This window comes from Homo sapiens, chromosome 10 (assembly GCF_000001405.40).
Source record: "Homo sapiens chromosome 10, GRCh38.p14 Primary Assembly".
Lineage (NCBI taxonomy): Eukaryota > Metazoa > Chordata > Mammalia > Primates > Hominidae > Homo > Homo sapiens.
Window position 1 is genome coordinate 97693987 of NC_000010.11, and position 13866 is coordinate 97707852.

Sequence of the window (13866 nt, forward strand, 5' to 3'; positions counted from 1 at the left end):
CACCTGAGGTTAGGAGTTCAAGACCAGCCTGGCTAACATGGTGAAATCCCGTTTCTACTAAACATACAAAAAATTACCCTGGGCTTGGTGGCGCACGCTGGTAATCCCAGCTACTAAGGAGGCTGAGGCAGGAGAATAGCTTGAACCCGGGAGGCAGAGGTTGCAGTGAGCCGAGATTGCACCACTGCACTCCAACTTGGGCAACAAGGGCAAAACTCTGTCTCAAAAGAAAAAAAGAAAAGAAGAACTGGCCAGCCACAATGGCTCATGCCTGCAATTCTAGCACATTGGAAGGCTGAGGCAAGAGGATTGCTTGAGGTCAGGGGTTCGAGACCAGCCTGGGCAACACAGCCAGACACTGTCTCTAAAAATAAATAAATAAATACAAAAGAACTGGACTGTATTCCTCAAAAATGTCAAGGTCAAGAAAAACAAAGGAAGACTGAGGAATAGTTCCAGATTGAAGGAAACTAAAAAGACATGAAAAGTAAATGTAATGTGTGATCCTAGATTGGGCTGGGCAAAAAGAAATAGCAATAAAAGACATTATTTGACAATTGTTGAAATTTGAACATGGACTGCGAGTTAGAGAGTATTATATCAATTGAAATCTTCTGATTTTGATAATCATGCTGAAGTTCTGCAAGGGAATGCCCTTGTTCTTAGGAAATACACACTGAAGTATTTGGAGTTAAAGGACATGATGTTTCCAATTCAATCTCAAGTGGTTCAGAATGAAAGATAGCCTGCTCTGAAAGAGAGAGAAAGGGAAAGAGAGAGAATATCAAAATAATAGTCACATGGAAATTTCTTGAATCATTCTTACAACACTTTTGTAAATTTAAAATTATATCGGCCGGGCATGGTGGCTTACACCTGTAATACCAGCACTTTGGGAGGCCAGGGCAGGTGGATCACCTAAGGTCAGGAGTTCAAGACCAGCCTGGCCAACATGGTGAAACCCCATCTCTACTAATAATACAAAAATTAGCCAGGTGTGGTGGGGCACACCTGTAATCTCTGGGGAGGCTGAGGCAGGAGAATCAGTTGAACCCAGGAGGTGGAGGTTGCAGTGAGCCAAGATCGTGCCATTGCACTCTAGCCAGGGCAACAAGAGCGAAACTTCATTAACATGGGCAGCCCCTGATTATTATTATTTTTTTTTTTGAGACAGAGTCTCACTCTATTGCCCAGGCTGAAGTGCAGTGGCTCAATCTCAGCTCACTGCAACCTCCGCTGCCCGGGTTCAAAAGATTCTCGTGCCTCAGCCTCCCAAGTAGCTGGGATTACAGGCGCCTGCAACTGCACCCGGCTAATTTTTGTATTTTTAGTAGAGACAGGGTTTCACCATGTGGGTCAGGCTGGTCTTGAACTCCTGAGCTCAGGTCATCCACCTGCCTTGGTCTCCCAAAGTGCTGAGATTACAGGCGTGAGCCACCATGCCTGGCCGACCCTGAATTTTCATGGGGTTTATCTCCTACCCTCCAGGTCACGTAAGTTTTACTAAGGCATCTAAAGTATGCGTTATTTTCAGCTTATCAGACCAACTTAGCATAATTTTGTCAATGTAATAGACCATCGTGATGTTTTGTGGAATGTCAAAATTATCAAGATCTGCTAGGGCTGTTTTCTGTTTTTTCGTTTTGTTTTGTTTTTTTTTTTTGAGACAGGGTCTGGCCCTGTCGTCCAGACTGGAGTGCAGTGGCACGATCTCGGCTCTCTGCAACCTCCCCCTCCTCAGCTCAAGCCATCCTCCTGCCTCAGCCTCCCGAGTAGCTGGGACTACAGGTGTATGTCACCATGCCCAGCTAATTTTTGTATTTTTTGTAGAGATGGGGTTTTCCCATGTTGCCCAGGCTGGTCTTGAACTCCCGAGCTCAAGCAATCTGCCCACTTGGTCTCCCAAAGTGCTGGGATTACAGACTTGACCCACCGTGTCTGGCCTGCTAGGACTGTACATGACAGAGAGCAGGAGAATTGACAGCATGCTCTAGATGTCTGTCAGCCCCTTTCTCTCGCCTCCCAAGTTCTTGTGCAATGAGCCCATAAACAAAGTGGCCATGGTGGCATAGATGGAGGCTGCCCAGGGATTCAGTTATGTGAACTTCATCTTTCCAAAGCTGACCTAGATAACATCACTGTTGAGTGCCTAATCTGCCAACAGCCGAGACCCATACAAAGCCCTCCAATATGGCACCACTCACAGAGGGGACCAACCAGCCACCTGTGGCAAGTTCATTACACTGCACCTGTTTTATCATGGAGGGGCTGAGATTTGTCCTCATTGCAATAGACACATATTCTGAATATGGATTTGCCTTCCTTGCCCATTATGCTTCTGCAGGAACAGCACCCATGGACTCACAGAATGCCTTATTTACCATCGTGGGATTCCCCATAACAATACTTCTGGTCAGATAACTCATTTCACAGCAATGGGTTCAAGGCCATGCAATTAACTAGTTGTTGTTGTTGTTGTTGTTGTTGTTTTGAGATGGAGTCCCGCTCTGTCGCCCAGGCTAGAGTGTAGTGGCGCAATCTCGGCTTACTGCAACCTTCACCTTCTGGGTTCACGCCATTCTCCCGCCTTCAGCCTCCCGAGTAGCTGGGACTACAGACACCCACCACCACGTCCAGCTAATTTTTTATATTTTTAGTAGAGACGGGGTTTCACCATGTTAGTCAAGATGGTCTCGATCTCCTGACCTTGTGATCCGCCCGCCTCAGCCTCCTAGAGTGCTGGGATTACAGGCATGAGCCACCACGCCCGGCTGCAATTAACTAGTTTTACCACCTACTCCATCACCTGAAAATAGCTGGGCTAGTTAAAAGGTGGAATGGAGGGCCCGGCACGGTTGCTCACGCCTGTAATCCCAGCACTTTGGGAGGCCGAGCTGGGTGGATCACCTGAGGTCGGGAGTTTGAGCCCAGCCTGACTAACATGGAAAAACCCCATCTCTACTAAAAATACAAAATTAGCTGGGCATGGTGCCACATGCCTGTAATCCCAGCTACTCGGGAGGCTGAGGCAGGAGAATCGCTTAAACCAGGGAGGTGGAGGTTGTGGTGAGATCACAGCATTGCACTCCAGCCTGGGCAACAACAGCAAAACTCTATCTCAAACAACAACAACAAACAAACAAACAAACAAACAAAACAAAGGCAAAGGTGGAATGGTTTACTGAAGACTCAGTTACAGTGCTATTCAGGAGACAAGACACAGAAAGGATGGATTCTGTCTTACGACATGCAATATATACTTTGAATCATTATTTGAATCTCTTCCATAGCTAGAACTCATGAATCCAGGAATCAAGGGTAGAAGTGGGAGTGCATCCACTTACTACTATCTCTAGTAACCCACTGGCAGAATTTTTTTTTTTTGAGACAGAGTCTTGCTCTGTCACCCAGGCTGGAGTTCAGTGGCACGATCTCAGCTCACTGCAACCTCTGCCTCCCAGGTTTAAGCGATTCTCATGCCCCAGCCTCCCGAGTAGCTGGGATTACAGGTGCACGCCACCATGCCCTGCTAATTTTTGTATTTTTAGTAGAGATGGGATTTCACCATGTTGGCCAGGCTGGTCTTGAACTCCTGACCTCAGGTGATCCACCCGTCTCGGCCTCCCAAAGTGCTGGGATTACAGGCGTGAGCTACTGCACCAGGTGAGTTTTCTACTACTGTGTAACAAATTGCCGCAAACTTACTGGCTTAAAACAATACCCATTTATTGATCCACAGTTTCTGTGGGTCAGGAAAGTGGGCAGGGCTCAGCTGGGTTGTTTGCTCAGGACTCACAGGCTGTAATCAAGGTGTTGGCCAAGGCTGCACCTGGGAGCCTGGAGGCCTGGCAGGGGAAGAAGCCTCTTCCAAGCTCATTCAAAGTGTTGGCAGAATTCATTTCCTTGCTATAGGACTGGGGCCTGATTTCTCTTCTTTTTCTTTTTGAGATGGAGTTTTGTTCTTGTTGCCCAGGCTGGAGTGCAATGGCGTGATCTCAGCTCATCGCAACCTCTGCCTCCCAAGTTCAAGCGATTCACCTGCCTCAGCCTCCTGAGTAGCTGGGATTACAGGCATGTGCCACCACGCCTGGCTAATTTTGTATTTTTAGTAGAGATGAGGTTTCTCCATGTTGGTCAGTCTGTTCTCGAGCTCCCAACCTCAGGTGATCCGCCCGCCTTGGCTTCCCAAAGTGCTGGGATTACAGGCGTGAGCCATCGTGCCCAGCCATGATTTCTTGCTAGCTGGAGGCTGTTCACAGCTCCCTGGGGTATTCCACAGTTGTTTGACAGATGGGCTTTCGCTAATGGCCGCTTACTTCATCAAGCCAGCAAGGAGAGTCTCTAGAGCAAGTCTGCAAGCAAGACAGACTCATAGACTAGCATAACATAACCATGGGAGTATGACATCACATAACATAACCATGGGAGTACCATCACCTTTGCCGTGGCCTGGGCTCCTTCTGGTTAGCAGTCACTCTCAGGTCCTGTTCCTACTCAAGGTGTGGGGAACACATAAAAGTGTGAATACCAGGCCGGGCGTGGTGGCTCATGCTTGTAATCCCAGCACTTTGGGAGGCCAAGGTGGGTGGATCACTTGAGGTCAGGAGTTCAAGACCAGCCTGGCCGACATGGTGAAACCCCATCTCTACTAAAACTACAAAAAGTTAGCCAGGCGTGGTGTCATGAGCCTGTGATCCCAGCTACTTGAGAGGCTGAGGCAGGAGATTAGCTTGAATCCAGGAGGTGGAGGTTGCAGTGAGCCAAGATCTCACCACTGCACTCCAACCTGGGCGACAGAGCAAAACTCTATCTCAAAACAAAACAAAACAAACAAAAAACAAAAAACCCCAAAAATGTGAATACCAGAAAACAGACATAGTGGGGAACTACCTTACAGTCTGTCTGCTACATGTGAATAGGAGGACTATGTCTGGAAACCAGAGGATCCTCAGGGTGTACCAAGTGGTACCTCCATGCCCAGTAGTAAAGGTCAATGGGAAACTAGTAGCCAAAAGAAGGCAGGAAGATTGACATCTCAGGCCTTTCAGAAATGAAACTTCAGACAGGGTGCGGTGGCTCATGCCTGTAATCCTAGCACTTTGGGAGGCCGAGGTGGGTGGATCACTTGAGTTCAGGAGTTCAAGACAAGCCTGGCCAACATGGTGAAATCCCATCTCTACTAAAAATACAAAAATTAGCCAGACATGATGGCGCGTGCCTGTAGTCCTACTCGGGAGGCTGAGGCAGGAGAATCGCTTGAACCCGAGAGGTGGAGGCTGCAGTGAGCCAAGATCTCACCACTGCACTCCAGCCTGGGCGACAGAAGGAGACTCCATCTCAAAAAAAAAAAAAAAAAAGAAAGAAATGAAGGTTTGGGTTACTTCAACAGGTAAAAAAATTCACTCATCTGCGGTTCTAGCTAAAATTAGGGGAAATAGGGAATGAGTAGTGAAAGAAGGAAGGCATAGATATCAATTATGGCCTTGTGACTGATTACTAGCCTGGTCTAGTGACCAGCCACCTGGACTATAGTAGTAGTTTTGCATATTTTCTTTCTGTTTGTTCTGTATATGTGGGACTTTTTTACATGCTGCCTCAGTCTGTTCAGGGGCTGCTATAACAAAATATCATAGACTAGGTAGCTGCTGCTGCTAATGCTGCTGCTGCTTTTTTTGGGGTGGGGTAGGGTGTAGAGATGAGATCTTGTTCTATTGCCCAGGCTGGTCTCAACCTCCTGGCCTCAAGCGATCCTTCCACCTTGGGCTTCCAAAGTACTGGAATTACAGGCCTGAGCCACTATGCCCAGCCAGCAGGTAGCTTCTAGCTTCTAAACTGTAGGGAAAAGAAAGATCAGACTGTTACTGTGTCTATATAGAAAGGGAAGACATGAGAGACTCCATTTTGAAAAAAGACCTGTACTTTAAACAATTGCTTTGCTGAGATGTTGTTAATTTGTAGCTTTGCCCCAGACACTTTGCCCCAGCCACTTTGACCCAACCTGGAGCTCACAAAAACATGTGTTGTATGAAATCAAGGTTTAAGGGATCTAGGGCTGTGCAGGATGTGCCTTGTTAACAAAATGTTTATGAGCAGTATACTTGGTAAAAGTCATCGCCATTCTCTAGTCTCAATAAACCAGGGGCACAATGCACTTCGGAAAGCCGCAGGGACCTCTGCCCTTGAAAGCTGGGTATTGTCCAAGGTTTCTCCCCATGCAATAGTCTGAAATATGGCCTCGTGGGATGAGAAAGACCTGACCGTCCCCCAGCCTGACACCCGTAAAGGGTCTGTGCTGAGGTGGATTAGTAAAAGAGGAAAGCCTCTTGCAGTTGAGATAGAGGAAGGCCACTGTCTCCTGCCTGCCCCTGGGAACTAAATGTCTCGGTATAAAACCCGATTGTACATTTGTTCAATTCTGAGATGGGAGAAAAACCGCCCTGTGGCGGGAGGCGAGACATGTTTGCAGCAATGCTGCCTTGTTATTCTTTACTCCACTGAGATGTTTGGGTGGAGAGAAACATAAATCTGGCCTACGTGCACATCCAGGCATAGTACCTTCCCTTGAACTTAATTATGACATAGATTCTTTTGCTCACATGTTTTTTGCTGACCTTCTCCTTATTATCACCCTGCTCTCCTACTATGTTCCTTTTTGCTGAAATAATAAAAATAATAATCAATAAAAACTGAGTGAACTCAGAGACCGGTGCCGGTGCAGGTCCTTGGTGTGCTGAGTGCCGGTCTCCTGGGCCCACTGTTGTTTCTCTATACTTTGTCTCTGTGTCTTATTTCTTTTCTCAGTCTCTCGTCCCACCCGACTAGAAATACCCACAGGTGTGGAGGGGCAGGCCACCCCTTCACTAAAAAACAGAAATTTATTTCTTACTATTCTAGAGGCTAGAAGTCCAAAATCAAGGCACTGTCAGATTCATTGTCTGGTAAGGGCCTGTTTCCTAATTCGTAGATGGCACCTTCTTGCTGTGTCCTCGCACAGTGGAAGGGCAAGACATCTCTCTGGGGCCTCTTTTATAAGGACATTTATTCCATTAATGAGGGTTCTGCCCTCATGACATAATCACCTCCCAAAAGTCCCTACCTCCTAATACCACCACCTTGTGGGGTTACGATTTCAACATAAGAATTTGGAGGGACACAAGCATTCAAATCATAGTACTAATTTTTTTGTTTCTCTTTCTCTCCATTTTTATTTCCTATGTAAGTTGTTGCATGCAAGCTAATGTTACAATTTAGTCTTTAGGTAAAAAATAATAGAGACTATGACTGCATTTGATAAGTATTTAGTAAAGCCAGTGATGCAATGATTGTTGGGACTGTGTGTCTTCTCATTTTGGAGAGAGGATGAGAACTTCTTCATTTATAAGAAAGACAGTTGGTCTTCTTTAGGCGGAAATATGAAGTTGTTTCAATATTGCATGGAAATTCAAATGTATATAGGAGTGGATATGGAAGCTGAGCGTTGATCCACTGTGCCAGTTATCAACTTGTTGCCTCTCAGCAACAAATGCACCCTCTGTTGTACAGTTCCATGATCCTGGAGAGGAGCCCTGTACTTTTTCTTTTCCAGCTAACACAATGCTCAGCTTTGTCAGTAGAGGGAGCTAGCGGGACACTGTAGGAGGCAGGGGTTTAGGAGTTTCTCTCCTTGGTTCTTGTGTGCGCCTCTCACTAGGCTCCTGTGGGTTTTTTTGGTTTGTTTGTTTTTGAGACAGGGTTTCACTCTGTCACCCAGGCTAGGGTGCAATGGTGTGATCATGGCTCAATGCAACCTCAACCTCCCGGGCTCAAGGGATCCTCCCACTTCAGCCTCCCAAGTAGCTGGGACTACAGGCGTGTGCCAACATGCTCAGCTAATTGTGTGCTGGGATTACAGGTGTGTACCACCATGTCCGGCCTCTTGAAACGTTTGAGGTTCCTCCATGGCCCGGCCCCTGGAGCACATCTGGTTTTCCAGCCCAGGCTCCAGCAGCGTGGGCTCCTGTGGTGTGAGCAGCTTCTTCAGTGCCTGGGTCCTACAGCGCGTGGCAGTCAGCAACACACCATGGCTAGGAGCTTCCCTCGGCACCTCTTTGGGTGGCTTTGCAGCAGGTTTTGAGATGCAGTACCTCCCTGTGAGCAACTTCCCCAGCACACCTAAATGGCAGATTTCTAGCAAGTTCCACCGGTGCAGCACCACAATGACTTTTTTGCCTTCCAGTGAGCCACAGCCCCATCCTCTCCAATGAGGTCTGGATTTCAGCCCTGGGGGAAGGGTGGGGAAGGAGCTCTTTTTTGGGTGTCTATCTCAGCCCTAGGGCCTAGGAGCTGCCCCTTATATCTTCTAGTCCTTATTCTTTAGCATTCTCCTTGTCTTATGAGCCAATCCCTCAGTACTCCAACTCCTGGTTACAGTGAGTCTTTGTATCAAACTTTCCCTGTCCAAATGACTGTGTGGAGACTGGACTCTGAAAAAGTGGGGAATGACAAGACTAGTAGGAAGAAGGATGAAGAATCTCAAGACAGCAAGTTTTGTCTTACAATCCAGGGATGCCCTGGGAACCAGTGACCTGGGTGTCAAAGCTCTTTTAGAAAACAATATTGATGGCCGGGTGCGGTGGCTCATGCCTGTAGTCCCAGCACTTTGGGAGGCCAAGGCGGGCAGATCACCTGAGGCCAGGAGTTTGAGACCAGCCTGGCCAACATGGTGAAACCCAATCTCTACTAAAAATACAAAAATTAGGCTGGGCATGGTGGCTCATGCCTGTAATCTCAGCACTTTGGGAGGCTGAGGCAGGCGGATCATGAGGTCAAGAGATCAAGACCATCGAGGTCAACATGGTGAAACCCCATCTCTACTAAAAATACAAAAATTAGCTGGGCGTGGTGGCACACACCTGTAGTCCCAGCTACTTGGGAGGCTGAGGCAGGAGAATCGCTTGAACCCGGGAGGCAGAGGTTGCAGTGAGCCGAGATTGTGCCACTGCACTCCAGCCTGAAAGAGCGAGACTCTGTCTCAAAAAACAAACAAACAAACAAACAAATTAGTCGGGTGTGGTGGCACATGCCTGTAATCCCAGCTACTCAGGAGGCTGAGGCAGGAGAATCACTTGGACCTGGGAGACGGAGGTTGCACTGAGCCCAAATTTTGCCACTGCACTCCAGCCTGGGTAACAGAGTGAGACTCCATCTCAAAAAAAAAAAAAAAAGAAAGAAAGAAAGAAAGAAGTACGGGGTCTTTCTCAGGCCATATTTAGTTTGCTTTAACAATCTCTAAGCACTTACATTTCATTTAATTCTTACTGGAGCTCTATAGGAGGCAGTGTCATTGCTGTTCATCTTATTATACTGATGAAAAGGCTGAGGTGAAGAAATGTGCAGGATATCATATAGCTGGGAAGTTATATGTTCCAGTTACAACTACTGCATAACAACTTATGCCCCAAAACTTAGTGGCATAAAACAACCATTTTAATACACTCATGGGTTTTGTGGGTCAGGATGTTTTAAAATGTCCTTGAGATTTTGGGTTTATTTAGGAATGGTAAGCCCAACAGCTCAGGAGATGACTACATTGAAAATATAGTTTGTTACTCACAGTTCCCATGAGGAGCAGGCACCCCACACCACACAGGACACATGGGGAAGCACCAAGGTTGGCCAGGAGGCAGAAGGAGCAAGGGAAAGCATTGCGGGTTTTTTGGGAAGCAATGGGTAAGGCAGAGTAAACAGGCTAGGTAGGTTTAGGATTGGATACTCTGAATAATTCCAGTGGGCTCTGGGGTATAGGGACTGTCTCTAATTGCCCAATACCTGGGCCTGGGATGATTGAGGCAGAGGAATATCGCCTGGTGGAGTGTAAGAGCCAGATAGAGGAGGCGGTTCAGAGTATGGACTCAGGGTTGGTTGGTTTGCAGGTCAAAGGCACGCTTACAAGCAAGTTGTTCGCCATCTCCAGAATTTAGCTGGCGTAGCTGGGTGCAGGGACTCATAATCCCAGCACTTTGGGAGGCTGAAGGGGAAGGATCGCTTGAGACCAGGAGTTCAAGACCAGCTTGGGCAATATGGTGAGACCTCATCTCCACAAAAAAACAAAAAATAAAAAATTAGCCAGGCATGGTGGTGCACACTTGTAGTCCCAGCTACTTGGGAAAGTGAGGCAGGAAGATCTCTTGAGCCCCAGGAGTTAGAGGATGCAGTGAGCTGTGTTTGCACCACTGCACACCAGCGTGGGTGACAGAGCAAGACCCTGTCTCTCTAAAAAGAAAGGAAGGAAGGAAAGAAGGAAGGAAGAAAGAAAGAAGAAAGAAAACAGAAGAAGAAAAATAAAAATAAATTAGCTGGCTCTGGAGGGGGCAGTCCCTTCCCTGATCTGCCAGGCCTCAAGATGGCAAAAATACATCTTAAAATACAGAAAATAAAATAAATGCATTATAAAATACAGAAACAAACAAACAAACAAACATGATCACTACACAGGAATTCAGCCAGAGCACAGCAGGAGGGGCTTGTTTCTGATCCACAATGTCAGGACTTCAGCTGGGAAGCCTTGAATGCTGAGGTTGACTTGATAGCTGGAGGGGCTGGAATAATCGTTTCTTATCCCTTTGGTGCCTAGCCTGGGAAAACCTGAAGACTAGAACTGTTGACTGGAGTGCTTCAGTGGCTTCTCAATGTGACCAGAAGCATGGTGGCCTCAGAATAGCCAGACTTCTTCCATAGTGGCTCAGGGCTTCAAGTGTATTTTTATTTTGGCAAATAGGGCAGAAGCTGCATTGCCTTTTTTTTTTTTTTTTTTTTTTTTTTGAGACAGGGTCTTGCTGTGTCATCCAGGCTGGATTGCAGTGGTGTGATCTTGGCTCACAGCAACCTCTGCCTCCCAGGCTCAAGCGATCCTCCCACCTCAGCCTCCCAAGTAACTGGAACTACAGGGTCACGCCACCACACCCAGGTACATTTTTTTTTTTTTTTTTTTGTATTTTTGTAGAGATAGGGTTTTGCCATGTTGCCCAGGCTGGTCTCGAACTCCAGCCTGGTCAGGGCGATCTGCCCACCTCAGCCTCCCAAAGTTCTGGGATTACAGACATGAGCCACCATGCCCAGGCTGCATTGCCTTTTTTGACATGACCTAGAAGAGATATAGTGTTGTTACTGCCATTAGTTACAACTGAGTCATAAGCCTGCCCAGATTCTGGAGGAGAGTCACAGAATTTCCAGCTATTTTTTAAAACCCACCCATGTGGAACTAGGATTCAGATTCTGGCAGTTTGGCTCCAGGCCCTCCTTGCTTAACTACAGGGTCAATGTAAGGCACAGAAATCTGTTTAAGTTTGCCCAGGAAGTGGGGAGAAAGGTACTGTGAAACTGAAGTGTGTTCACTGCTATGAAGTCCAGCTGAATGACCTGGAGCAAGTCACAGGCAGCTATTTTCTGTCTCTCACTATCCCTCGTCTCTGCATATCTGCCTGTGGTAGTTAACTTTATGTGTCAACTTGACTGGGCCATAGGATGCCCAGATATTTGGTCAAATGTGATTCTGGGTGTTTCTGTGAGGGTGTTTGTGGATGAGATTAACATATACATTGGTAGACTGAAAGCCAATTGCCTCCAATTGTGGGTGGGGCTCATCCAATAGGTTGAAGGCCTGAATAGAATACAAATCAGCCAGTTTACAGGCTGTCGTGTGGGGTAAGGAGGTCATGCAGATAAACACTCAGCACAGAGCATCATCCAACACTAGCCCAGCCCTTGGGGGCCATTCTCCTGCATTAAAGCTCCTGCTGCCGGGCTCAGTGGCTCATGCCTGTAATCCCAACGCTTTGGGAGGCTGAGGCGAGTGGATCACCTGAGGTCAGGAGCTCGAGACCAGCCTGGCCAACATGGTGAAACCCCATCTCTACTAAAAATACAAAAATTAGCGGGGCGTGGTGGCAGGCGCCTGTAATCCCAGCTACTTGGGAGGCTGAGGCAGGAGAATCACTTGAACCTGGGAAGCGGAGGTTGCAGTGAGCCGATAACACACCATTACACTCCAGCCTGGGTGACAGAGTGAGACTCTGTCTCAAAAAAAAAAAAAGGAAAAAAAAAAAAGAAAGCTCCTGCTGTGGTTAGGATAGGGAGTTAGGGGGCAAATCCCCCATTCCAGGGGCTCTCTAGCATAGCAGGGGAGACATGGAAATAACAGACAGAGTCAGGCTCCCAAGTGCAGATCTTAGGGACTGCAGCAACCACACCCACTCTCATGGTCTCTTGCCTGGCCCCACTCACTCTTGGGGCCTCTTGCCCAGCCCTCTACCTCCTGACCCTCCCCACAAAATCGGGACCATTCTCTTTCCTGCCATTCAGGGGCAGTCCTCTGATGTTTTGTCTCACCCTAGACCAAGGCTGAAGCCTCAGATATAGGCAGTGGTGAAAAGATCCGATTTGGAATTTCTATTTCTACTAGCTGTGTGACACTGGATGAGCCACATAACCTCCCTGTGTCTTGGGCTCAGTTTCCTCATTTTAAGGTGAGGATTTTTTTGTTTTGTTTTGTTTTTGTTTGTTTGTTTTGAGATGGAGTTACGCTCTGTCTCCCAGGCTGGAGTGCAGTTGTACAATCTTGGCTCAGTGCAACCTCCGCCTCCTGGGTACAAGCAATCCTCCTGCCTCAGCCTGCCTCCTGAGTAGCTGGGACTACAGGCATGCGCCACTGCCTGGCTAATTTTTTTTTTCCTTTTTGATGGAGTCCCACTCTGTTGCCCAGGCTGGAGTGCAGTGGCGTGATCTCAGCTCACTGCAACCTCTGCCTCCCGGGTTCAAGCAGTTCTCCTGTTTCAGCCTCGCAAGTAGCTGGTACTGCAGGCGCACGCCACAACACCCGGCTAATTTTTGTATTTTTAGTAGAGATGGGGTTTCACCATGTTGGCCAGGCTGGTCTCGAACTCCTGACCTCAGGTGATCTGCCTGCCTCGGTCTCCCAAAGTGCTGGGATTACAGGTGTGAGCCACCGCCCCTGGCCTAAAATGAGGATGGTTTTAACAGTTCCTACTTCACAGGGCTATTGTAGGAAGTAAATGAGACAAATGCAGACAGCACCTGGCATAGTGCCTGGCACAGAGTAGGTGCTCTGCAAGTGTTAATTATTACTGTTGAGCCAGCCCCAATTCTATCCAAAGTGGGACTGTCAGAGCAGTGCTGATTACCCAGTCTGTCCTGGCTCAGGGCGTCCAATCACTCAGATGCGGCCCCACTTTCCCCCAGAGTGTGGTCTTCGGGGGTTTGCACATCCCCATCATGGGTCCCAGCAAGGGCACCTTCAGCACCTCATGGGCAGCCTCTTGATGGCATGGCCTCAGGAGCACCTACCATAGTTGCCAACAATTACTTAGCCTAAGGGTCCCAGCCTTGCCAACCAGTGTCCTGGGTGGCTTCACACAAAAGTAAGTCTGGGTGGTTTGGGGTCTGATCCTGGCCGGTGTTCCCTGAGGGGTGAGGGCTGAGTTCTGCCAGAGTCAAATGCCTTCACCAGGTCTGGACTGTGAAGGTCAGATCAGGTCCGGACCGTGGCCCCTGACCCCTGCCGCTGCAAACAACTGTCCAGAGTCCAGGCTGCCTCATGGCTCAGGCAAAGGCCCAGGTACTCCCTGGGGGCTGGATCAACAAGCTCAAGAGCCACCCAGAGTCCCAGCCAGCACCTCCCAGAGGTGACCTCACTGACTACTCCAGTAGCCTCTGTTCCGACAGCCCGGTGGGAGCCATCCTGGGAACAGGCCAAGAGGAGGGAGCCTCTTGGCCCAGAGATGTGAGTGCGTGTCCTGGGCCTGGCTCCACGGTGCTCCTGAACAGAGCCCCCTGCCCTACAGCTCCAGGGAACTTCCTGTTTGGGTGCCA